General features: G+C 50.6%; 1 protein-coding gene, 1 long non-coding RNA gene and 1 pseudogene across 74 annotated transcripts, besides 3 other annotated features; 1 reads left to right on the plus strand and 2 right to left on the minus strand.

Annotated features, from left to right (window-relative positions):
• On the minus strand, nt 456-841 carry RPS15AP33 (ribosomal protein S15a pseudogene 33; annotated as a pseudogene).
• LOC124903672 (uncharacterized) lies at nt 5,605-10,556 on the minus strand. Its single transcript, XR_007065042.1, has 2 exons — nt 10,408-10,556; nt 5,605-6,535 (listed from the first exon to the last, which is right to left on the minus strand). It is a non-coding gene; the product is annotated as an uncharacterized LOC124903672 (long non-coding RNA).
• Nucleotides 8,792-9,528: an enhancer, noted in NCBI's record as "H3K27ac hESC enhancer chr16:28833599-28834335 (GRCh37/hg19 assembly coordinates)". NCBI's record gives its function as "activates a minimal SCP1, AML or CMV promoter by ChIP-STARR-seq in naive H9 embryonic stem cells {active_cell/tissue: H9 hESC(naive)}" and the evidence as "EXISTENCE:reporter gene assay evidence [ECO:0000049][PMID:30033119]".
• Nucleotides 9,040-9,249: an enhancer, noted in NCBI's record as "active region_10644". NCBI's record gives its function as "activates an Ori minimal core promoter by ATAC-STARR-seq in GM12878 lymphoblastoid cells {active_cell/tissue: GM12878}" and the evidence as "EXISTENCE:reporter gene assay evidence [ECO:0000049][PMID:35858748]".
• On the plus strand, nt 9,513-23,746 carry ATXN2L (ataxin 2 like). 73 transcript variants are annotated; one of them, XM_011545719.3, is made up of 24 exons: nt 9,513-10,072; nt 11,880-11,916; nt 12,138-12,194; nt 12,284-12,355; nt 12,754-12,904; nt 13,376-13,500; nt 15,915-16,006; nt 16,372-16,572; nt 17,129-17,304; nt 17,476-17,586; nt 18,701-18,913; nt 19,010-19,081; nt 19,331-19,401; nt 19,573-19,868; nt 19,953-20,022; nt 20,579-20,725; nt 20,857-20,929; nt 21,020-21,207; nt 21,572-21,701; nt 21,792-21,913; nt 22,060-22,272; nt 22,447-22,690; nt 22,840-23,004; nt 23,242-23,746. In XM_011545719.3, exons 1-23 carry the CDS (start codon nt 9,774-9,776, stop codon nt 22,992-22,994), a joined length of 3,315 nt encoding a protein of 1,104 aa, XP_011544021.1. In that variant the 5' UTR covers nt 9,513-9,773; the 3' UTR covers nt 22,995-23,004; nt 23,242-23,746. The 73 variants fall into 73 exon arrangements, with proteins under 73 accessions (XP_011544021.1, XP_054184404.1, XP_047289485.1 ...); XM_054328429.1 differs by having other exon boundaries at nt 22,840-22,999; nt 23,265-23,746; XM_047433529.1 differs by having other exon boundaries at nt 22,447-22,636; nt 22,963-23,004.
• Nucleotides 9,570-10,719: a silencer, noted in NCBI's record as "silent region_7313". NCBI's record gives its function as "represses an Ori minimal core promoter by ATAC-STARR-seq in GM12878 lymphoblastoid cells {active_cell/tissue: GM12878}" and the evidence as "EXISTENCE:reporter gene assay evidence [ECO:0000049][PMID:35858748]".
• Nucleotides 23,747-25,295: the final 1,549 nt, after the last annotated feature.

Here is a 25,295-nt window from a genome sequence, read left to right on the forward strand (position 1 = left end):
TTACAGAAGGGAACATAGTTACCAATTATGGGCTCATGACCAATTACAGAACTGAGGATCTTGGAAGCTTGTCATATTTCCTTTTTGCTTTTTTTTTTTTTTTTTTTTGAGATGGACTCTCACTCTGTCGCCCAGGCTGGAGTTCAGTGGCTCAATCTCAGCTCACTACAACCTCTGCCTCCCGGGTTCAAGCAATTCTCCTGCCTCAGCCTCCCGAGTAGCTGGGATTACAGGCATGTGCCACCATGCTTGGCTAATTTCTGTATTTTTTAGTAGAGATGGAGTTTCACCATGTTGGCCAGGCTGGTCTCAAACTCCTGACCTCAAGTGATCCGCCCGTCTTGGCCTCCCAAAGTCCTGAGATTACAGGCGTGAGCCACCGCACCTGGCCCCTTTTTGCATAATATATTCATGTCTTTATTTGTACATGCTAGCCATCTTTTTTTTTTTATTTGGTCCATAGGCATTTTATTTGTAAATATGTGTTACATCTCTAGAAAAAGAGTCCCAGGATTTTCCTTCCTGTGTGTTTTCGTCTTGCTTCTTCATGGTCCATGATGCCAGCTGAGGTGGTCAGTACAATGAAACCAAACTGGCGGGATGGAAGCAGATCATTCTGCTATTTTTCTAGATCTTTGCACATCAAATCTGGGGCTGATCCCACGTTTAGCCTGCCTGTGAGGTTTACAGTAATTTTCCCAGCTGTGTGATCATCAGTGATTTCAAATTCGCCAATGTAACCATGCTTCATCATCACAGTTAGAAACTGGACGATGACTTTGGAGAATGGCCTAATAGGTACCTGGCATTTTGCCTCTCTTTTTGGCATTGTTGATGTTCTATTTTTTTTTTTTTTCTTTTTGAGACGGAGTCTCCCTCTTTCACCAGGCTGGAGCGCAATGGTGCGATCTCGGCTCACTGCAACCTTTGCCTCCCGGGTTCAAGCGATTCTCCTGCCCCTGCCTCCCGCGTAGCTAGGATTACAGGCGTGCGCCACCACGCCCAGCTAAGTTTTGTATTTTTAGTAGAGACAGGATTTCACCATGTTGGCCAGGATGTTCTTGATCTCTTGACCTCATGATCTGCCTGCCTCAGCCTCCCAAAGTGCTGGGATTACAAGCATGAGCCATAGCACCCAGCCTGTCAATGTTCTTGAGAGCATCAGCCGGGACAGTCATATGCGCCATTTTGGTGGCAGGGGAAGATGGAGGAAAGAGCTTTCTTTTTTTTCTCTCCTCGTTCTTATTTTTTATACAAGTTATTGGAGGTTAGCTCTACAATTCGGCCTTTAGGTAGCAGAACATTCAAGACTATGACTTAATTTGAGGAGTAATTAAAATAGCCAGCAACTGGTGCAATGATCATTATGACAGTGAGTCTCATTTTGGAGAAACAGTGAGAACTTTCCTTGTATGAAAGATAACTATCTCTTTTTTTAGTTTTTTATTTTTATTTTTTGTGGGAACGTAGTAAGTGTATATATTTACAAGGTACATGAGATATTTTGATACAGGCACACAATGCATAATAATCACATCAGGGTAAATGTGGTATCCAGCACCTCCTACGTTTATCCTTTGTGTTACAAAGAATCAAATTAAACTATTTTAGTTTAGGGTTTTTTGTTTGTTTGTTTGTTTGTTTTTTGAGACAGAGTTTCACTTTTGTCACCCAGTCTGGGGTGCAATGGCGCGATCTCGGTTCACTGCAATTTCTGCCTCTGGGTTCAAGCGATTCTCCTGCGTCAGGCTCCCAAGTAGCTGGGATTAAAGGCATGCACCACCACACCCAACTAATTTTGTATTTTTAGTAGAGATTTCTCCATGTTGGTTAGGCTGGTCTCAAACTCCCAACCTCAGGTGATGTGCCCACCTCAGCCTCCCAAAGTGCTGGGGTTACAGGCGTGAGCCACCATGATCAGCCTTTTTTTTTTTTTTTTGAGATGGAGTCTCACTCTGTCGCCCAGGCTGGAGTGCAGTGGTGAGATCCTGGCTCACGGCAACCTCTGCCTTCCAGGTTTTTTTGTTTGTTTGTTTGTTTGTTTGTTTTGAGACAGTCTTTCTCTGTTGCCCGGGCTGGAGGGCAATGGTGCAATCTCGGCTCACTGCAACCTCCACCTTGCGTGTTCAAGCGATTCTCCTGCCTCAGCCTCCTGAGTAGATGGGATTACAGTCGTGCACCACCATGCCTGGCTAATTTTTGTATTTTAAGTAGAGACGGGGGTTTCACCATGTTGGTCAGGCTGGTCTCGAACTCCTGACCTCATGATCCACCTGCCTTGGCCTCCCAAAGTGCTGGGATTACAGGCGTGAGCCACCACACCCAGCCTCTGCCTTCCAGGTTTAAGCAATTCTCCTGTCTCAGCCTCCCGAGTAGCTGGGATTACAGGCACCCACCACCACACCTGGCTGAGTTTTGTATTTTTAGTAGAGACGGGGTTTCACCATGTGGGCCAGGCTGGTCTCGAACTCCTGACCTCAAGTGATCCACCTGCCTTGGCCTCCCAAAGTGCTGGGATGACAGGCGTGAGCCACCACGCCTGGCCCTCTTTTAGTTATTTTTAAATGTACAATAAATTATTGTTGACTGTAGTCACCCTGTTGTGCTATCAAGTAATTTTTTTAATCCTTTTCTTTTTTTTTTTGACAGGGTCTCTCTGTGTTACTCAGGCTGGAGTGCAGTGGCGTGATTTCTGCTCACTGCAGCCTTGACCTCCCAGCAGGCTCAAGCAATCCTCCTGCCTCATCCTCCCGAGTAGCTGGGACTACAGGCATGTGCCACCACGCCCAGCTAAGATCTTTTTTAAAATGCTTAATCCAGAAGTCATTACAAACAAATACTAGATCTTATTTATTCTATCTAACTATATCTCTGTACCCATTAACCATTCTGCCTTCCCTGCCTCCATTACCCTTCCCAATCTCTGGTAAACATCCTTCTACTCTCTGTCTCCAGGAGTTCAACTGTTTTTCATTTTTGGCTCCCACAAATAAGTGAAAACTTTTGAAGCTTGTCTCTGTGCCCACCTTATTTCACTTAGCATCATGACCTCGAGTTCCATTCATGTTGTCACATATGACAGGATCTCATTCTTTTTTATGGCTGAATAGTACTCCATTATATATATGTACCACATTTTCTTTATCCATTCATCTGTTTGTTGGGGTTTTTTTCTGTTTTTGTTTTGAGATGGAGTCTCCACCTGTCGCACAGGCTGGAGTGCAGTGGCATGATCTCGGCTCACTGCAACCTCTGTCCACCTCCCAGGGTCAAGCGATTCTCCTGCCTCAGCCTCCCGAGTAGCTGGGATTACAGGCGCCTGCCACCAGGCCCGGCTAATTTTTGTATTTTTAGTAGAGATGGAGTTTCACCATGTTGGCCAGGCTGGTCTCGAACTCCTTACCTCAAGTGATCTGCCTGCCTCAGCCTCCCAAAGTGCTGGGATTACAGGCATGAGCCACTGCGCCTGGACAATTTTTACTTTTTTTTTTGAGACGGAGTCTTGCTCTGTCACCCAGACTGAAGTGCAGTGGCGCCGTCTTGGCTCACTGCAAGCTCCGCTTCCCGGGTTCACGCCATTCTCCTGCCTCAGCCTCCCGAATAGCTGGGACTACAGGCGCCCACCACCATTCCTGGCTAATTTTTTTGTATTTTTAGTAGCGATGGGTTTTCACCATGTTAGCCAGGATGGTCTCGATATCCTGACCTCGTGATCTGCCTGCCTCGGCCTCCCAAAGGGCTGGGATTACAGGCGTGAGCCACTGTGCCCAGCCAATTTTTACTATTTTTATATTTCCAAAAGCTTTGAACTAATTTTACTACTTATGTGCAAATTCTTTTTTTTTTTTGAGACAGAGTTTCACTCTTGTTGCCCAGGCTGGAGTGCAATGGCACGATCTCGGCTCATCGCAACCTCTGTGTCCCAGGTTCAAGCGATTCTCCTGCCTCAGCCTCCCGAGTAGCTGGGATTACAGGCATGCGCCACCATGCCCAGCTAATTTTGTATTTTTAGTAGAGATGGGGTTTATCCATGTTGCTCAGGCTGGTCTTGAACTCCTGACCTCGGGTGATCTGCCCACCTCGGCCTACCAAAGTGCTGGGATTACAGGTGTGAGCCACCATGCCTGGGCTTCAAATTCTTTATTTTGAAACAATTTCAAATGTACAGAGATGTTAAAAGGCTAGCGTTTCCAGGAAAGTCTAGAACGTCAGGATAACATTTACCCAGATTCACCAGTTGTTAATATTTTGCCACATTTGCATTTTCTCTTTCTGTGTGTATATTATACATATATATGTGTGTGTATGTGTATATATATATATATATATATGCTTTTTTTGGAAACCTTGTTTGTGTGTGAGACTCATTCTGTTGCCAGGCTGGAGTGCAGTGGCAAGATCTCGGCTCACTGCAATCTCCACCTCCCGGGTTCAAGCGATTCCCCTGCCTCAGCCTCCCGAGTAGCTGGAACTACAGGCGCGCACCACTACGCCTGGCTAATTTTTTGTATTTTAGTAGAGACAGGGTTTCACCATGTTGGCCAGGCTGGTCTCGAGCTCCTGACCTCAAATGATCCACCCACCTCAGCCTCCCAAAGTGCTGAGATTACAGGCATGAGCCACCACACCTGGCCTTTTGGAAACATTTGAGAGTAGGTTGCATCTATCACACTCTGTTGCCCCATCATACTTCTTTATATATTTACTAAGAATATACCCTGGGCTGGGCTTGGTGGCTCACGCCTGTAATCCCAGCACTTTGGGAGGCCAAGGTGGGCAGATCACTTGAGGTCAGGAGTTCAAGACCAGCCTGGCTAATGTGGTGAAACCCCGTATCTACTAAAAATACAAAAATTAGGCCGGGCGCAGTGGCTCACGCCTGTAATCCCAGCACTTTGGGAGGCCAAGGAGGGTGGATCACCTGAGGTCAGGAGTTCAAGACCAGCCTGACTAACATGGAGAAACCCCCTCTCTACTAAAAATACAAAATTAGCCAGGCGTGGTGGCACACGCCTGTAATCCCAGCTACTCGGGAGGCTGAGGCAGGAGAATCACTTGAACCCAGGAGGCGGAGGTTGCAGTGAGCTGGGATCTCACCACTGCACTGCAGCCTGGGTGACAAGAGGGAGGGAGACTCTGTCTCAAAAAACAAAAAACAAAACAAAACAAAAAAACACCCTGGCCGGACATGGTGGCTCACATCTGTGATCCCAACACTTTGGGAGGCAGAGGCAGGTGGATAGCTTGAGGCCAGCAGTTCAAGACCAGCATGGGCAACACAGCAAAACCCCATCTTTACCAAAAGAAAAAAAAACCAAGAAACAAAAAATTAGCTGGGCGTGGTGGTGCACACCTATAGTTCCAGCCACAACTACTTGGGAGACTGAGGTGGGAGGATCTCTTGAGCCTGGGAGGTGGAGGCTGCATTGAGCCAAGACCCCACTGCTGCACTCCAGCCTGGGTGACAAGAGCGAGACCCTGTCTCAACAACCACAAAAAAGAATACATCCTTCCATATCTCCAGTAGAGTCATAACACATTCAGGAAATTTATCATGGATGCAATACTTTGTAGTCTATATTCCAAATTTATCAATTTTCCCCATACTGTCTGTTTTGTTTTTATTTTGAGATAGGGTCTCGCTCTGTCGCTCAGGCTGGAGTGCAGTGGCGAGATCACGGCTCACTGCAGCCAGGACCTCCTGAGCTCAAGCAATCCTCATTTTCCCCCATCCCCCCATCACAGGTAATCAATTTGATGAGTTTCTGGTTTATACTTTGTTTTTCTTGGCAAAAACCTGCAGATACATTTATGTCTTCATATTTCCCCTTCTTCCTTATACAAAAGGTAGCACAGTATACAAAAGGTAGCACAGTCTTTTGAAGTTTGCTTTCTTTTTCTTTTCTTTTTTTTTTTTTTTTTTTTTTTATGAGATGGAGTCTGGCTCTGTCATCCAGGCTGGAGTGCAGTGGCATGATCTTGGCTCACTGCAACCTCCACCTCCCGGGTTCAAGCGATTCTTCTGCCTCAGGCTCCCGAGTAGCTGGGACTACAGGCGTGAGCCACCACACCCAGCTAATTTTTGTATTATTAGTAGAGACGGGGTTTCACCATATTGGCCAGGCTGGTCTCGAACTCCTGACCTCACGATCCAACCACCTCGGCCTCCCAAAGTGCTGGGATTACAGGCGTGAGCCACTGAGCCTGGCCATAGTGATATAATTTTTAAATTGCACACGATAAGACAACATTCCCATTGTTGGGGCAGGAGTGCTGCCCCAACCCCACCACCAGGAATGTTAGGCAACCATCAGGTGATGGTCAGGTGGTTGTTAAACTTGTCTCTAAAATAGTAATTGGTTGCAGCCAGCACCAGGGAAAGGCAGTCTCCAAATAGATGGAAAACACTTGAAACTGATGATCAGCAGCTTCTCGATAAGATCTCAGAAGTTGGGTAAATGGGCTCAAGCTTATGCACCAAGAGGCAAAATGGCGGAGTTTAATGGTACATGCCCTTCCTCCAGGAATGCTAGATCTGTAAGGGAAGAACGTCTTAAGTGAGCATGTGCACTTCAGTATACTGAACACACTGTGCTTGTGGCCCCTCCAAGTGCTGGCAGGCCACCGTGCATGTGGACAGCCCATGCCAAGGTAGGAATCAGGGGAGAAGAGATGCAAACCGTAAATCCCTGGAAGCATGCCAGCATATGAAACCCCAAGTCAAAGGTCAAACCAGGGACTTGAATCTGTCAAGTCATTCACGCCTGGCCCTCTTCCAAGTGTACTTTACTTCCTTTCATTCCTGCTCTAAAACTTTTTAATAAACGTTCACTCCTGCTCTAAAACTTGCCTCTGTCTCTCCCTCTGCCTTATGCCCCTTGGTGGAATTCTTTCTTCTGAGGAGGCAAGAATTGAGGTTGCTGTAGACCCCATGCAAATTAGCTGCCACTAGCAAGGGCAAGGCAAGCTATGGAGAAAGAAGTTTCATGGGGCTAAAACTCAGAATTTGAGTGTGGAGCAGGATGGGGTAGATGGAAGGGGGTTAGAGTGCTCAGTGCTCACAATCTGTCAATGAGGGTAGAGAGGTGGCATGGCATCAGGTGGTCCAGGTAATGCCAGGAAAAAGCTGGACTGTGTTTGTTAGGGAACCCAGGAGACATGATGACCTTTAAAACACCATTTGGGCTGGGCGTGGTGGCTCATGCCTGTAATCCCAGCACTTTCGGAGGTCGAGGCGGGTGGATCACCTGAGGTCGGGAGTTCAAGATCAGCCTGACCAACATGGAGAAACCCCGTCTCCACTAAAAATACAAAATTAGCCGGGTGTGGTGGTGCATGACTGTAATCCCAGGTACTCAAGAGGCTGAGGCAGGAGAAACGCTTGAACCCGGGAGGCGGAGGTTGTGGTGAGCCGAGATCGCGCCATTGCACTCCAGCCTGGGCAATAAGAACAAAACTCCATCTCAAAAACAAACAAAAAAACATCATTTGGATCCACTCACCTTACAGATATTTCATTGAGTGCCTGCAGTGTGCTAGAGTACTGCAGAGCAAGAAATAAGTCAAGATCCTAACCCTTAGGGAGCTGACATTAGCAGGAAGACAGAATTAAAGGAGCTGTTAGAATACAGTGGGATAAATTGCTCGGCGAGCACACAGGAGGGGAAACTAGCACATCTGAAGGCAGGAGCGAGGCAGGGCGAAGGACTATTACCCAAAAAGTAAGGCAGTGTTGTAGCTAGGTGTGCATGTGTTTGGTGCAGGGGCTGGGAAGAGTTCCAATGCTAACATTTAGAGCGAAGAGATTGAGACATTGAGAGTTTCGCTGGGATTAAGACCACATGGACTTAACAGCTCCACTCCATTCTCCACGTTGCAAAGAGTAAACCTTTAAAAATGCAAATCTGACCTCTTTTCACTTGTTTTTTTGTTTGTTTTGGGGGGAAGGAGTCTTGCTCTGTCACCCAGGCTGGAGTGCAGTGGTGCGATCTGGGCTCACGGCAACCTCCGCCTCCTTGGTTCAAGTGATTCTCCTGCCTCAGCCTCCTGAGTAGCTGGGATTACAGGCATGCACCACCACGCCTAGCTAATTTTTGCATTTTTAGTAGAGACAGGGTTTCACCATGTTGGCCAGGCTGATCTCAAACTCCTGACCTCAAACCTCCCAAAGTACTGGGATTACAGACCATGCCCAGCCTCTTTTCACTTTCTTAAATAAGCTCCCCACTGCTTTGAGGATAATGTCCGTGTCTCTTACAAGACTTGGGAGCCTTTAAAACCTGATCCCAGATTAGCTACCTCTTCCCCCCTTTAATTTTATGCTTAGGACAAGCTGAGTTTTTCTTAGTTTGTCATATCCTATTTCCCTGCCTAGAAACCCATCTCCCCCTGCCCTCTTATCAGTTTTTTTTTATAATTTAAATTTTTTTTTTTTTGTAGAGACAAAGTCTCACTTTGTTGCCTAGGCTGGTCTCAAACTCCTGGCCTTAAACGATCCTTCTGCCTCGGACTCCCAAAATGTTAGGATTACAGGTATGAGCCACTGCGCCCGGCCCTCCTGTCCCTTATCTGGGTCTCCCAAAACTGGATTAAGATTAGGTGTCACTCCCATTTGCTCTTGTAGTCCTCTGTGCTTCACCTACTAGATCTCGTCAAATTCTCTGAATTCACCACTAGCATGAACTCCTCCAGAGCAGGAAGCAGTTTAATTATCCTTGTGTCCAAAACAACTAACTGAATACTCCAATGCCCAACTCATTTTGAATGAATGAAGCTGCCTTCATTGCAGGGTCGGGTGGAGGATTTTGAACTCGGAACTTTGGCCTTCAGTCTTTGTTATTACAGTTTAAAGATTCATTCTCGGGCATGGAGGAACAATTTAGGTCAAAATCACAAAAATCTGAAATAATTTAGGACGAGGCGTAAATTTATCTGCAAAGATCAACACGCTCAAACGAATCACTAATGCTCATCAGTCTTTTACTTAAAGCAAACAAGGTGGAGGGTAGCTCCTTGCGAAACCTACCACCTGCCTAAAAGCGCAGTGGCTCGGGTGGTCCAGTCCCGGAGACTTTCTTGGCACTTAAGGCTCTGCCCACGGGCCGCCAAGTGGCGGAAGAGCCTCACGCACGACGTGCCGCCTCACACTCCCGCGGAGGCATCGCGACGCAGCGACGGCGTGGGCGGAGAGGCCGGCCCTTCCTCTGGCGCCTTCGGCTCCTCCCCCTGCGCCTCACACGCTCATTGTGAAGCGACAGCGGCCGCCGGCTTCTAAGGCGGTTTGAGACCTTAAGACCCTAAATCCTTGGCGCGCGTGAGCGCCCGCGCCGCTCCTTACCCACTCCCAGGGCTAGGGGTGCGAGGTTCACCGACTTGATTCTCTCCCACTTTCCCGCCGGGAGCTAACCGCGCCGGTGTGCGCGGCACCTCGCGCCACTGCTCGCTCCTGGCCCCCCCCCCCCCCCCCCCCCCCCGGGAGCTCCCACCCGCGCGCTCCTCCCTCTCCGCTCCCCGGCGACGCGCACGCGCGCCAGCCCGGCTCGCGCCCTCTCGCTTTCCTCCAGCCGCGAGACCCCCTCCCCTTCCGCCTCGCGGCGCTTCCTCGCGCCGCGGTCTTCTCTCTCCACCCCCGACACCGCGGGGCTCCCCCCGCCCGCCCACGGCGGGCCCCGGCTGCCCGATCCCCCTCGCTTCCCGCGCTCTCCAGCGGGGCCCCAGCCCCGGCCCCCTCTCTCCCTCCCTTCTCTCTAATTCCCCTTCCGGACGCTGCCATCATGTTGAAGCCTCAGCCGCTACAACAGCCCTCCCAGCCCCAGCAGCCGCCCCCCACGCAACAGGCCGTGGCCCGTCGGCCCCCCGGGGGCACCAGCCCTCCCAACGGCGGCCTCCCGGGGCCGCTGGCCACCTCTGCGGCTCCTCCCGGGCCTCCAGCGGCCGCCTCCCCCTGCCTGGGGCCTGTGGCCGCTGCCGGGAGCGGGCTCCGCCGGGGAGCCGAAGGCATCTTGGCGCCGCAGCCGCCGCCGCCGCAGCAACACCAGGAGAGGCCGGGGGCAGCCGCCATCGGCAGCGCCAGGTGAGAAGGGTGGGCTCCGGGCGAGGGAGCCGCGGCCACCCAGAGGCTGTGGCTCGGTTCCGGTGGGGCGGACCCCGACCCGGCACCGTCAGGGGCACCGGCTGGGTGGGGAGTCCCCGTGAAGCTGGGGGAGGGCCCCCTCAGGTCCGAACAGGTCGGACGGAAAGGGTCCCCGGGCGGCCACCGGAGCACTGAGGGGCCGCGCTCGGCTCTCGGGGCCTAGTCAGGGCTCGCAGCCCCGGCCTTCAGGGGAGGCGGGGCGCATCCCGCCGGCGCCGTCGGAACGGGGAGTTGGGGGGGGGCAAGGAGCTGATCGGGGTCCCCGGTTCCATTACCACGAAGGGTCTCGCGGTCCCCGGCTTCAGCCAATGGGGAGTCTGCTGCGGGAAGGGGTCCCCGGCCGTAGCCAATGGAGGGGGGCGCGCGGCCCACAGTTTGGCCAATGGGGAGGGAGGGACTTGGGAGCGGGTTGCTGCCTCCCCCTTCCCGGTCTGGCCAGTAGGAGGGGAGCGAGGTGGGCGGGGGGACGGAAGGAGGGATGACTGGGAGGACTGCGGGCCGGGAGCCTCTGGCGCGCGCGCCCCCTTCCCGTACGTGCGCGTGGATGCTCGGTCTCATGACCCGGGCATTCGCGCGCCCCGGGAACACCTAGGGCAGGGACTAGTTCGTGGAGGGGCTCGTCTGGTGGCAGTGCATGAGTAGTGGAGGCCCTGCTCAGTTTTTCCTGTGCGAGTGTGTGTGTGTTAATGGAATTAAGAGTGGCAGCACACGCAGGCGCAGTGGGCTCTGATCGCTGGAGGTGGGGGTTCGGAAAGTCCCGTGGGTTTTAGTGCGCAGGCGCAGACCGGGCGAGGCCTCCCGGTGGATGGCTTTTGCGGCTGCGCTGTCCCCCAGCCCCGCCAGCGGCCCCCTCTTCGCCCTCAACCGCCGGTTACATCAGCCAGCGACGAGCAGGGTTACCTGGCGATTGGTGATCCCCGCAGAGTGGGTAACGGGCTGAATGAGTCATGAGGTCGAGGGGATGGGGTGTGGAGGGGATACCCCTCCTCCCACAGTTTTGAGGCGTCAGGCTGCTGAAAATGATTGTCTTTTCTGTTTGGGAGGTAATGTACCTGAGCTAGGTAGTTCCAAAGCTGCACTCCTGGAGCTTTTGCCCTCACAGCTGGCGTGGCTTTTTGGTTAATACTGTAGCATTGATCTGTTGGTAGCCTGCAGCCCTAGCCCCTTTCTCGTTGGTTCTTAGAGCAATTGACAACCATTGTTGATTGAGATCTTTTTGCTGGCATTTGGAGGAAATGTGTTTGCTGGCTTATTAATGTCTATTTTTTTCTTCCTCTACAAGGTGACAGTTTGAAAATCTTATTTATTGGCCGGGCGCAGTGGCTCACGCCTGTAATGCCAGCACTTTAGGAGGCAAAGGTGGGAGGATCCCTTGAGCCCAAGGAGATCGATACCAGCCTGGGCAACACAGATGGGAAATCCCATCTCTACTAAAAATTAAAAAAAAAAAAAGCCAGGAGTGGTGGTTCGTACCTATAGTCTCAGCCACTCGGGAGGCTGAGGCAGGAAGATCACTTGAGCCTTGGAGGTTGAGGCTACAGTGAACTGAGATCACGCCACTGCACCCCAGCCTGGGCAACAGAGGGAGACCCTGTCTCAAAAAAAATAGAAAAATCTTACTGATTAACAATTTTGTAGTCTAAATCAGCATCATCAGGTGGTATATACTTCTAGGATTTAACATTAATTTCATAGTGGTCTAAGAGGGCTTGAACAGACTTAAGTAATTTCTTGTTTTCTTTTATAGGGGACAGAGCACAGGAAAGGGACCCCCACAGTCACCTGTGAGTGTCTTCTCCCACCCTGTTTAAGATACATAGACCTAAAAGATGCATAATGTGGGAATATAGGGCACATTAGGTCTAGATAGAGTCTAATGTACTCAGGAGGGCTGTGGGCCCGGCACACACAAGGCAGAATGAGTAGAGTGCGGCGGGCATTTAGAAAAGAAAATGAGGTGTTGACTGATTACTCCTTTAATTCTCCCTCTTATGTTAACTGACAGGTGTTTGAAGGCGTCTACAACAATTCCAGAATGCTGCATTTCCTTACAGCTGTTGTGGTAAGTTGGTACTTAACCCCCGGGTTGTTTAAGGAACGTAATGCATCTACTTTCTGGAGACACTCTTCTTATTTTTCCCACTCTGCCAGGGCTCCACTTGTGATGTAAAGGTGAAAAATGGTACCACTTATGAGGGTATCTTCAAGACGCTAAGCTCAAAGGTCAGTGTACTCAAATTTAATTATTTTTGGAGTTGCAGAGTAGGAGGAGAATGAAATAGGCTCATTGAAGGTGTCAATTGGGTGATGTCAGAGTATGCCTTTAGTTGTTTCTGTAGGCCTGTGCTGAATAGTGCTGCAGGGAAAAAAGACAAATTTGAGGGCTGGGTACTTTAATGTTAAAATATTTAAGTTTAAATTTTTGTGAGACTTTTGCTAAGTCCTGTGGCTGATGTTGAGAAAACAATGCACTTGGTTCCAAGCATGTTGAGGATGTAGTGTTGTGAAAAGTTTGGGAAGGGTAAGAGAAATCCAGTTCTATTTAAGAGAAATCCAGTTCTATTTTTGCCTTCACTTTTCTTGAAACTGACCCATGGGTGTGGGGAATGGGGTGTTTGTAGTTTGAACTAGCCGTGGATGCTGTGCACCGGAAAGCATCTGAGCCAGCAGGTGGCCCTCGTCGGGAGGACATTGTGGACACCATGGTGTTTAAGCCAAGTGATGTCATGCTTGTTCACTTCCGAAATGTTGACTTCAACTATGCTACTAAAGGTATTGTCCTAGGCTGTTACCTCAGACCTGCTCTGTGTGCATAGAGGACAGAGGGTAGTTTGTGTGCAGGTGGAACATGGTGATGTGTTTGGTTTGTTTTTTTGTTTTTGTTTGTTTGTTTTGCTTTAATGCCTTTTTTTTCCTGAGCGAAGTGGGTGGATTTTTCTTCTTAAAAATATGTCTTGATGTCTAATATATAATGCGATGAATTCCTGTCTGTGTTGTGGTTCTTCATATTTTCTTTGCTTGGTTTTTAACTTCTTTTTTCTTTGGAATCATAGTACTGATAGACTTTTTATACTCTTCTTCTCTTGCCTCCCCACCCCCTGGCCATCCTAACACACGGGCACACGTACTCTGGACTTCTTAAACTTTGTTCCTGAACTACTTACGGAGAGTGGGGTTGGGGGATATTGGAAAGAAGTCTGTGAAATATAGCCTGACTCCTGATCTTCACCTCTGCCCCCACAGACAAGTTCACCGATTCAGCCATTGCCATGAACTCGAAAGTGAATGGGGAACACAAAGAGAAGGTGCTTCAGCGCTGGGAGGGGGGTGACAGCAACAGCGACGACTATGACCTCGAGTCTGACATGGTATAGCCTCCTTCCCTGAGAACTTGGGAGCTGGACAGACAGAATGGGTTGTTGACAGTGAGGTTCATTTGAGTGGGGAGGGAAATATTTACTGTTGCCCATTGATGGTAGTCAGATAACAAATAGAAAGGTATAGAAAATAGCAAAGTAAAAATATCTATTCTTAGCTGGGTGCAGTGGCTCATGTTTGTAATCCCAGCACTTTGGGAGGCCAAGGCCGGTGGGTCACTTGAGGCAAGGATTTCGAGACCAGTCTGGGCAACATGGTGAAACCCTGTCTCAACAAGATATATAAAAGCTATCAAGGTTTGGTGGCATGTACCTGTAGTCCCAGCTACTTGGGAGGCTGAAGTGGAAGGATCACTTGAGCCCAGGGAGGTCGAGGCTACAGTGAGCTGTGATCATACCACTGCACTCCAGCCTGGGTGGACCGTGTCACACGCAACAAAACCAAAACATCAACTTACTCTCTTACTATCTATAATTAACCACTCCTAGCATTTGCATCACGTTATTTTTCAACATAACAAAAAGTATAGATTAATGTGTAGGCCCATTTCTCTTCCCAAAATCAGCTACTCTGAGGCATTTAAAATCTCATGAGGCTGAGCGCAGTGGCTCATGCCTGTAGTCCCAGCTACTTGGGAGGCCAAGGCAGGAGCTCCGATCACTTGAGCCCAGGAGTTTGAGGCTGCTGTAAGCTGAGATTGTGCCACTGGACTCCAGTCTGAGCGACAGTGAGGATGTCTCAAAAAAATAAATAAAAACCGCTCATGAATAGAGCTGAGCGTGGTGGTCCCACACCTGTAGTCCCAGCTACTCAGGAGGCTGAGGTAGGAGAATCATTTGAAGCTTTGGTGCACTATGACTCAACTTGTGAATGGCCACTGTGCTCCAGCCTGGGCATCATAGCGAGACTATCTGTTGAGAAACAAATGTCTTGTGAATGAATATATTATTGTTTTGTTATGTTTAGTTTGTACAAGAATTTGCTTTTCTTGCCTTTTCGAACTTCTCATGGTTGTACGTAGATCTAGTTCTTTGCTTCTATTGTTGTGTGCTGTTTTCAAATATACACACACACGTGTACACAGCAAATTGTATTTGTCCTTTTCCTTAATCATCTGCATTTGGTTGCCATTATTTTGCTACTAAAAATAGTACCTTGCTGGACTTTTAGAACATATATTCCCCACGCACATGTGCCAGAATTTTTCTGGGATGTCTTGGAAATAGAATTGTTAGGTCTTATGACTTTTCAGGTTTACTAGTTATTGATAATTTCTGCTGCAGTTGTTAGTAATCATTAACAGTTGCAGGCCGGGCGCGGTGGCTCACACCAGTAATCCCAGCACTTTGGGAGGCCAAGGCGGGCAGATCACCTGAGGTTGGGAGTTTGGAACTAGCCTGACCAACGTGGAGAAGCCCCATCTCTACTAAAAATACAAAATTAGCTGGGCGTGGTGGCACATGCCCGTAATCCCAGCTACTCGTGAGGTTGAGGCAGGAGAATCGCTTGAACCCAAGGAGACGGAGGTTGCGGTGAGCCAAGATCGCACCATTGCACTCCAGCCTGGGCAACAAGAGTGAAACTCTTTGTCTCCAAAAAAAAAAAAAAAATTGCAGTTATTAATTACAATTATTAGTTGATTACTTTTGCCAGCCACGTTCCAATTTTTTTTCCACTCTTGTTTTGTCGTTTATTTTTGAGACGAGCTTGCTCTGTTGCCCGGGTTTTTGTTGTAGTTGTTTGTTTTTGTTTTTGTTTTTGTTTTTTTTGGAGACAGGGTCTCACTCTGTCACTCAGGCTGGAGGCTGGAGTGCAGTGGCTCGATCTCAGCTCACTGCAACCTCTGCCTCCCAGGTTCAAGCGATTCTTCTGCCTCAGCCAGGACTGCAGGCATGCGCCACCACGGATGGCTAATTTTTTATTTTTAGTAGAGACGGGGTTTCACCATGTTGGTCAGGTTGATCTCCTGACCTCAGGTGATCCACCCACCTCCCAAAGTGCTGGGATTACAGGCATGAGCCACCACGCCCAGCTAGTCGCCCAGGCCAGAGCGCAGTGGTGCCATAATAATTCACTGCAGCCTCAAACTCCTGGGCTCAAGTGATCCTCTCTCCTCAATCTCCTGAGTAGCGAGTAGCTAGGACCCCAGGCATGCACCACCACACCCGGCTGTTTCATTATTTTTTTCTAGAGATGAGCTCTTGCTGTGTTGCCCAGTCTGGCCTTAAACTCCTGGCCTCAGGAGAGCCTCCTGCCTCAGCTTCCCAAAGTACTGGGATTACAGGTTTCAGCCACTGTGCCCAGCCAATTTGTTCACATCTTGGAGTTTTTAACCTGATGGAAGGGAAGTGACTTGTCGTTGCTTTTCCTGCTGGGTTTTAAAACCACCTTCCTCCCTCCCCAGTCCAATGGATGGGACCCCAATGAAATGTTCAAGTTCAATGAGGAGAACTACGGTGTGAAGACTACCTATGATAGCAGTCTTTCTTCTTATACGTGAGTATCTTGGTGCTCTCCAGGTGATGTGTTGGTGATATGGGGTCACTAAGTGAAGACAGGTTTCCAGGTAGAACATAGTTTTTGCTCATTTTTCTCTGGGTGTCCAGGGTCGCCATCCCTACTCCTACTCTGCCTTGTGGAATTCTTCCCTCAAAGGTTTTAAGCGTCTTAAGTGCTTCTCACATTCCCAGATAAGCCTTGGTGCTCTACCTGGGATGCAGTCGGTGCCCGTTACCCAGATGTTGAAGGGATTAAATACTTCCATGCCTGAACTGGTGATTGGACTTGTTGAAATGTTTTTCCTTTTTTCCTCTTTTGTCCCCTGGCACTGGGATGGTGGTGGTCTGTGGGTGCTGTCTCAGGGTGCCCTTAGAAAAGGACAACTCAGAAGAGTTTCGTCAGCGAGAGCTGCGTGCGGCCCAGTTGGCTCGAGAGATTGAATCAAGCCCCCAGTACCGCCTACGGATCGCCATGGAGAACGACGATGGGCGCACTGAAGAGGAGAAGCACAGTGCAGTCCAGCGGCAGGGCTCAGGGCGGGAGAGCCCCAGCTTGGCATCCAGGTGACTGTTGCAAACAGCCAGGACTACTTGGGGCTTCTGGGAATATCCTGGGGCCTGGGCCCAGAGTTGATGAGTGCTGTGGTTTAAGCCTTGTGACCATGTAAAATGTCATACACAGGTTTAGGAGGTTGAGGTAAAGCGAGATTATGTAATTTGCCTAAAGTAACAAAGCTGGAGCTTGTAGATCTAAAAAAAAAAAATTCAAAATTTATGTGCTATTTCTTTTTATAAAAGTGAAATATAACTACATTATTTGTGTCTTTTAAAAACTATCCCTGGAACTACGGTGTGATCCTACTTTTGTCATAGGTCAGGAGTTGTAGAATTGTGGAGCACTGGCCAGGTTGGTTGGCTCAGAGTTGATGTCACATGAGGTCATAAGTCCGTAGCCACAGAACGTTAAACTAGGGCAGATCTTCAAGTGGGATGGTGCTGGAGCCAGGCAGTGTGTGTATGTTTGGGGGCAGAAGGGGGAGACTTTAGAAGAAGAAATGGCTTCATCTTTCCAAAACGTGGGTTTTGTGGCTACCTGGCCTTATTTGAACTCTTTCCTCAGGGAGGGGAAGTATATCCCTCTGCCTCAACGAGTCCGGGAAGGTCCCCGGGGAGGAGTTCGATGCAGCAGCTCTCGGGGCGGTCGGCCTGGCCTTAGCTCTTTGCCACCTCGTGGCCCTCACCATCTGGACAACAGCAGCCCTGGCCCAGGTTCTGAGGCCCGTGGTATCAATGGAGGTGAGTTATGAGGTGACTTTGAGGAAGAGGGCAGGGAAGGGGATGCCAAGGAGGTGGGAGGGTAATTGGAGGGGTTTGGGTGTGTTGGAATGACGCTGCATCGGTGGGAATGTAATAGGTCGTCTGCCTCCTGACATTTTCTTCTCAAAAAAAAAAAAAAAAACCAAACAGGCCCTTCCCGCATGTCCCCAAAGGCACAACGGCCTCTGAGAGGTGCCAAGACTCTGTCTTCGCCCAGTAATAGGCCTTCTGGAGAAACTTCTGTTCCACCTCCTCCTGCAGGTAAAGCTTTAGTAGTGTTGGATGAAGAAATGGATGGAAATTTGTAAAGAGATGTAAATATGTCCATTTGTTACAGTGCTGGAATGGGAGATAATTTTAAGATAGATGTTTTGGGCATTTGGGATTTAGTCATATTGGGAAATAGTTCTTCGATTTCCCTAGTGCAGAAATCTCAACCTAGCAATCCATGGGTTGTGTCTGCTTGGCAGACATCTTTTGTTTAGATTTGAATCAGTTGCTAAGTTTTGTTTTGTTTTGTTTTTTTCTTTTTTTGAAACGGAGTCTTGCACTGTTGCCTGGGCCAGAGTACGGTGGCGCCATCTCAGCTCACTGCAGCCTCCACCCCTCAGATTCAAGCCATTCTCCTGTCTCAGCCTCCCAAGTAGCTGGGATTACAGGCACCCACCACCACGGCTGGCTAATTTTTTTGTATTTTTAGTAGAAGCGGGGTTTTATTATGTTGGCCAGGCTGATCTCGAACTCCTGACCTTGTGATCCTCCCACCTTGGTCTCCCAAAGTGCTGGGATTACAGGCGTGAGCCACCACACCCTGCCAGTTGCTAACTTTTTAAAACAGGCCGAGGTAGGCAGATTGCTTGAGCCCAGGAGTTTAAGACCAGCCTGGGCAACACGGCAAAACCCTTCTGCAAAAAATAAAAAGATTAGCTAGGCTTGATGGCGTGCACCTGTACTCCCAGCTACTTGCGAGGCTGAGGTGGGGGGAATCGCTTGAGCCCAGGAGGCTGAGGTTGCAGTGAGATGGCATCACACCATTGCACTCCAGTCTGGGGAACAGAGCGATACCCTGTCTCTAAATAAATAAATCAATAGAAGCCATAGAAAATTTTTAGTTTCTTTTGAATTACAGGAAATTCTGTCAACTGAGCTTGCCTTGCTGCGTAGCTTGAGTTGACTGGAACAGAATCCCTGCCACTCCTTTAAGCATTCCAGTTGTCGATGATGCCCATGAGGCCATTTACCTGCTTGTGTTACCTGCCTTGAGCTTCTAGACATTTAAGTTGGTGACTCTGGTTGTATAGTGTGTAAACTTTCTTGCTGTTTTGAGTAAGGCCCTTGTACTCACTGCTGTTGACCAGCAGTAACCATCCTACAGCTCCCCCTTTTCTTCCAGTGGGCCGGATGTATCCCCCGCGTTCTCCCAAGTCTGCTGCCCCTGCCCCAATCTCAGCTTCCTGTCCAGAGCCTCCCATCGGCTCGGCAGTGCCAACCTCTTCAGCCTCCATCCCTGTGACCTCATCAGTCTCAGATCCTGGAGTGGGCTCCATTTCTCCAGCTTCTCCAAAGATCTCCCTGGCCCCCACAGATGGTAAGAGCTAGGTGTTTGAGTGCTGTGAATGCATATTTAGTGTGATTTGTGGTTCTGGACAGAAGGACCTTTAGGCATTTCTCTTTACTTGAACAGTAAAAGAACTCTCTACCAAGGAACCTGGGAGAACTCTGGAGCCCCAGGAGCTGGCTCGGATAGCTGGGAAAGGTGAGGGTGGTTTTTTTTCTGCTGAGGATTAATGCTCCTTTGTCTGGGGGAGAGTATTTCAGTTAGGAAGTTTGTTGGAATTCAGAGGCAAACAATGTCTATCAGTCCTTGGATTATAATTTCACTTCTGTGATCCTCAAGAGTTTCTCTTTTTTCTTTGCTTTCTTGTCCTCTGTTCTTTTGGCACTGTGTAGCCACCTTAGAGAAAGAATGTTTTGTATTTTCTTCTTTTTGACTGTTTTCTCATAGTCCCTGGTCTTCAGAATGAACAGAAACGATTCCAACTGGAAGAACTGAGAAAGTTTGGGGCCCAGTTTAAGGTGAGAGAAGAGTGAGCTGGGATATTAGCAGGGTAAAGGGGTTGGGAGTGGTTCGTAGATGAGGCAAAGGACTAGATAGGAGTCAAAGAGATGAGATCAAAAAAGGATGAAAGAAGAAAGCCAGGACTAGGGTCTGGGTCAGACTGGACTGTGTGTGTTTCTCTCTTCCAGCTTCAGCCCAGTAGCTCCCCTGAGAACAGCCTGGATCCTTTTCCTCCCCGGATCTTAAAGGAGGAGCCCAAAGGAAAGGAGAAAGAGGTTGATGGTCTGTTGACTTCAGAGCCCATGGGGTCTCCCGTCTCCTCCAAGACAGAGTCCGTATCGGATAAGGAGGACAAACCACCCCTGGCACCATCAGGAGGCACTGAGGGGCCAGAGCAGCCCCCACCACCTTGTCCAAGCCAAACTGGCAGCCCCCCGGTGGGCCTCATCAAGGGAGAAGACAAAGATGAGGGCCCTGTTGCTGAGTGAGTGGAGCGGGGTGGGGCTCTGGGAGGATGGCAGGAGGGATGAGAGCAAGCCGTGAAGATTTACTGTACTTTCTCTCACAGACAAGTAAAGAAATCAACGTTGAACCCTAATGCTAAGGAGTTCAATCCTACAAAGCCTCTGCTGTCTGTGGTGAGCTGGGACAGGAGAATGTGGACTTTGGTTTCTGTGGGGAGACTTGGGCAGTGCTTATAGATGAATAGGGGGAGGAACACTTCACTTCCAGGACCACTTGCCTGGCAGGCAGTGTGAGGAGATGTCATAAAAATGTAAGGATGGCACCTTTGGGGCTGGCTTGGGGAAAATGGACTCAGGTCTCTAGGTTTGGGTGATCAGGGGATCAGGGATCCCAGTGAGTCTGATGAGGGGTTAACAGGCTTTTCTTTGGTTCTTGGCATTTGGCTGAGGGAGTATTGGAGTGGGGTAGTCATGAACAGAGGCCAGCTGACTTGGCTTGAGCCCCTGTATTTGGAAGGTTTGTGATCTTGGACGTCACTTACATTCTCTGCCTCACCTGTAACTTTAGAATACTCATCTCCTCATAGGGTTTAATGTGAGGCTTTATCAAGATAAGTGCAGAATATGTTTGGTATGCAGCATTTCACGAATGTTAATTATTACCACTCTAGGCATGGCCAGGAGTAGAGGGGAAAATACAAAATAAAATTGTCCTCCCTTGTTTTTGCAGAATAAATCCACCAGTACCCCAACTTCTCCGGGGCCCCGGACTCATTCAACTCCCTCCATCCCGGTGCTGACAGCAGGCCAGAGTGGGCTATACAGCCCCCAGTACATCTCCTACATACCTCAGATCCACATGGGACCAGCTGTGCAGGTATGCAGAGAGACTGGCCGGGCCCAGGGTTAGCGGGGTGGGATTTGGTTGCGCTGGTTGAGGGACCAGGTCAGGCCTGTCTGGGCATTCGTGAGCGAGTCATTCAGCCTCATCTGTGTCCTCATCCCCAGGCACCTCAGATGTATCCATATCCTGTATCCAATTCAGTGCCTGGGCAGCAGGGCAAGTACCGGGGAGCAAAAGGTGAGCAGGGCTGGGAGGGGCAGGCGGCGAGGCTGCCAAGGGCCTACTGGCAGGTGGAGCTTGAGCTCTCCTCTCCTCCTCCTCTTCCAGGCTCCCTTCCTCCGCAGCGCTCGGACCAACACCAGCCAGCCTCAGCCCCGCCGATGATGCAGGCCGCCGCGGCTGCTGGCCCGCCTCTGGTGGCTGCCACGCCCTATTCTTCCTACATCCCCTACAACCCTCAGCAGTTCCCAGGCCAGCCAGCCATGATGCAGCCCATGGCCCACTACCCCTCACAGGTGACTGCGGCCCAGGAGGGCAGTGAGGATCCAGGGCCCCTGCTAGGGATCCCATCTTCTCCAGAGACTTGGGAGCTGGCTAGGGGTGGCAGGCAGTGTTGTAGGTGGGATCGGCCCTCTGTGGTATTGGCGGTGTCAGACTTGGGCTTGAGCCCTGGCTCTGGTGGTACCTGTAACAAGGCATTGGACATCTGTATCTCTGAAGTGTAGAGAAAATAGTGTCTGCTGGGTGGGATCGTTATGAATGTTGAATCAATAGGGTGATTGTGAGGAGGCCCAAGCGGTGCTGTGCACGCAGTGACTGGCAGGAGGACACCTTCCCAGCTGGCGGCTGTGCCAACCACTCCTCTCTCTGTCCCGCCAGCCGGTGTTTGCCCCCATGCTTCAGAGCAACCCACGCATGCTGACGTCGGGCAGCCATCCCCAGGCCATCGTGTCATCCTCTACCCCTCAGTACCCTTCTGCAGAGCAGCCTACCCCCCAAGCCCTTTATGGTGAGTCCTGCGCCTGGTCCCTCTGCTCTGGGCTGTGTGCCAGCCCCCTCTGGTGTGCTCAGCACTGGTTCTCCCTCTTTCCTGCTGCAGCCACTGTTCACCAGTCCTACCCACACCATGCCACACAGCTCCATGCCCACCAGCCGCAGCCGGCTACCACGCCTACTGGAAGCCAGCCGCAGTCCCAGCATGCGGCCCCCAGTCCTGTCCAGGTGCCTGCCATGGGGGGTGCTGAGTGGTCCTGGTGCAGGAATGGGTGGCCAGAAGAAGGGATAGAGCTAGGGGTCATTTCTGAGTGGCGAGGACTGGGGGCCAGCGAGTTGCTGGCCTGTGTGGCACTCAACCTTCCCCTCCCCAGCAGCATCAGGCGGGGCAGGCCCCACACTTGGGCAGTGGACAGCCACAGCAGAATCTGTACCACCCAGGGGCCCTGACAGGCACGCCGCCCTCTCTGCCACCGGGACCTTCTGCCCAGTCCCCTCAGAGCAGCTTCCCCCAGCCAGCCGCTGTGTATGCCATCCACCACCAGCAGCTGCCCCACGGCTTCACCAACATGGCCCATGTTACCCAGGTAAGAGCCCAGCTGTCCCACTTCTGGGTCTGTTTGCCAGGGCCCGTCTGCCATGGGGACCATCCCATTGCCAAGTCCCTGGTGCCACCCTTGCCATAGTGCTCCCTAACTCTGGCTCTCAGAGTCTGTTTCAGGATTCTGTGGTCTTCCCGGCTACTTTTTTGTTTTCCACAGGCCCATGTCCAAACTGGAATCACAGCAGCCCCGCCCCCTCACCCTGGGGCTCCCCACCCGCCCCAGGTGATGCTGCTGCACCCACCCCAGAGTCATGGGGGGCCCCCCCAAGGCGCGGTGCCCCAGAGTGGGGTGCCTGCACTCTCAGCTTCCACACCCTCACCCTACCCCTACATCGGACACCCCCAAGGTGAGCAGCCTGGCCAGGCGCCTGGATTTCCAGGAGGAGCCGATGACAGGATTCGTGAGTTCTCATTAGCTGGGGGAATTTGGCATGGAAGAGCTGAGGGGCTGCAGGTGGGGCAGGATGCACGGGTTCTGGGTGGGGAGTGAGGGGTCTTGGAGGCAGGGCTGTCCCACAGGGCGCCCGCCGACCTGCACCTGTCTGTGAAGTATGTAGGGTGGGCAGAAGCCACAGTCGCCGCCGCCAGGGGCTTGCTCCTGGCTCTGTCCTTTGCTTCCCTCCGTCCTCGCTCAGTTGTGATCCAGCAGCCCCCCTCCCCACTGCCTCCCCAGCTCTCAGTGACCCCGACTGTCTCCTGACTTAGCCGAGGTAAGGTCAGTGCAGCAGACAGGGCCAGACTGGGGTGTGGGGGGCTGAGCTGGGCACATGAGTGAGGGCTCTGGCTTACTGGGAAACAGCGATTGACCTGTGCTTCTGACAGCCCCCGAGACACCTTGAGGAGGCCGCTCCTTCCCAGACACACCCCCACGCCCCCACTGGACGGCATTGGAGGAAGGGACAGCTGCTTGGGTTCTAATGCTCCTGCTCTCTTCTCTTTCCCCTCCAACCAGTTCAATCTCATCCCTCCCAGCAGCTCCCCTTCCACCCCCCGGGGAACTGAAGATTGTCCTGGCCGCGACCTGAGACCTCCATGAGTGGAGGGAAGAGTGATCTATGTCTCTTCCCCCAGCAGCTCGGACCACTCCCAGCCCCCCATCCCCCCGTTCCCCAGGGGAGCTGGGGAATTCCTGCCAAGCACCTTGAATGGGAGGGGCCTCACAGAGGGCAGGGCCAGGGTCCAGCAGGGGTGGGGGGTTCCTGCTCTGCCCCTGCCCGTCCCCACCCAGTCTTGCCCTCCCATCCTCTCATCTATTCCCCCGCTGGAGACGGAAGATCTTTTATTTTCTATTATTTATAACTTCAGACTTGGGCCCCCTGTTCTTTCTTTCCCATTAACTTGAGTGACCTGTGTGAGAGACAGACAGATGCCCCACGAGGATGGCTGGACAAGGACTTTTACTTTTTATTACATAAAAATATTAAAAAATAAATAAAAAAAATAAAATTTTAAACTAACTTAACCTGCCTGGAGTTTCCTCCTTGGAGACTAGAGTGGGGTGACAGCTGTCAGTCTTTTGTGGCATTGATAGGTGCTGCATTGTGACCTGTTCCTTCACCTCCATGTAAAAATCGTGTCCAGTGGCCAGCCATGGTGGCTCACGCCTGTAATCCCAGCACTTTGGGAGGCTGAGGTGGGCAGATCACCAGGTCAAGAGATGGAGACCATCCTGGCCAACTTGGTGAAACCCCATCTGTACTAAAAATACAAAAATTAGCCAGATGTGGTGGGACATGCCTGTAATTCCAGCTACTTGGGAGGCTGAGGCAGGAGAATCACTTGAACTCGGGTGAAACCCTGTCTCTACTAAAAATACAAAAATTAGCCTGGCGTGGTGGGACATGCCTGTAATCCCAGCTACCTGGGAGGCTGAGGCAGGAGAATCACTTAAACCCAGGAAGCGGAGGTTGCAGTGAGCTGAGATCACTCCATTGCACACCAATGGTGGCCAGTTTTTGAAATCTAGGATGATGGGGAGCCAGATCGGGATCCTGTGCCATGCATTTGAAGGTGGGTTCCAGACTTCATGTGAAGTTGTGTAGTTGATGACTGAGGTTCTGGATGACCGGATGGCTAAAAGCACGTGAGATGGGAGTCCGCTTCCCAGGATGGGACAGCAGTGGCACAGTTCCCAAGGATGCTGTCCCTGACTGGCTCTGGAACTGCTACATAGATAGCTCACCCAGCTGTCTAGTGACTATTTTCTCATCTTGAACTTGGCTTCATCTCAAGGTGTGATTCAAAGTTTCATTTCTAATATGAGTATCTCATGAATTACATACACCTCTTTATGTTGAAGGGTGAATGTTTATGGTCATTGGAATTAAAATCCTGATGGATGTGCAGCTGACTGTGGATGAGAGCTGTAAAGGTGAAGCTGTTAGTGGGAGAAGAGGGGAGAGGATTGGTTGGGAACTGGGCTTACTGGGGAGCAAGAGCAAAATTAGGCATTATGGGTGGGACAAGAAGATTGAAGCATGGGATGTGGAAATGACAGCAGGCTCCAGAGGAGGTAGTTTTTCAAGGAGGTTGAGAATTCTCTCGGAGACTTGACCTTGGTTTCCTTGCCTAAAATGGAGGTGATTTCACCTTTCCAGGATTTTAAGGAAGTGGCTGGTGCTCAGTGGTAGACGGGTGTTTCAGCTCTCACCAAAGCCAGAGAAAGCTGGCTGAGACCAGGACAGGAAGAGTGAAGGCTACAGTATTGGGGAAGAATCCCAGCATATGCAGATTTGGAACTTGGTAATAGGTGTACATGGTGGGGTGGAGAGAAGGGGTTATTAAAGAGGTTAAAAAAAAAAAAAAAAAAAAGGACTTTATGTGGTAGCCACTTGGATGCTAAAAATGGGCGGGGTTGGAGTCCCAAGAGCACTCAGCAGGTAGATGTGGGGTGGTGCAGGAGCTGCAAGGCTTCAGCTGGGCTCAGGATATTTGAAGTGTAGATGGAGAGACAGGTATCTACTATGAAATATGGCAAGTATTACTGGGTAATCTTTCAATTTTTTT

The sequence above is a fragment of the Homo sapiens genome, chromosome 16, assembly GCF_000001405.40.
Source record: "Homo sapiens chromosome 16, GRCh38.p14 Primary Assembly".
Taxonomy (NCBI): Eukaryota; Metazoa; Chordata; class Mammalia; order Primates; family Hominidae; genus Homo; species Homo sapiens.

Coding starts and splice junctions, on each gene's coding strand:
- ATXN2L (XM_011545719.3), top strand. CDS start 9,774: ATGTTGAAGCCTCAGCCGCTACAACAGCCCTCCCAGCCCCAGCAGCCG. Junction 16,007..16,371: donor AGCAGTCTTTCTTCTTATAC/GTGAGTATCTTG, acceptor GTGCTGTCTCAG/GGTGCCCTTAGAAAAGGACA. Junction 16,573..17,128: donor AGCCCCAGCTTGGCATCCAG/GTGACTGTTGCA, acceptor CTCTTTCCTCAG/GGAGGGGAAGTATATCCCTC.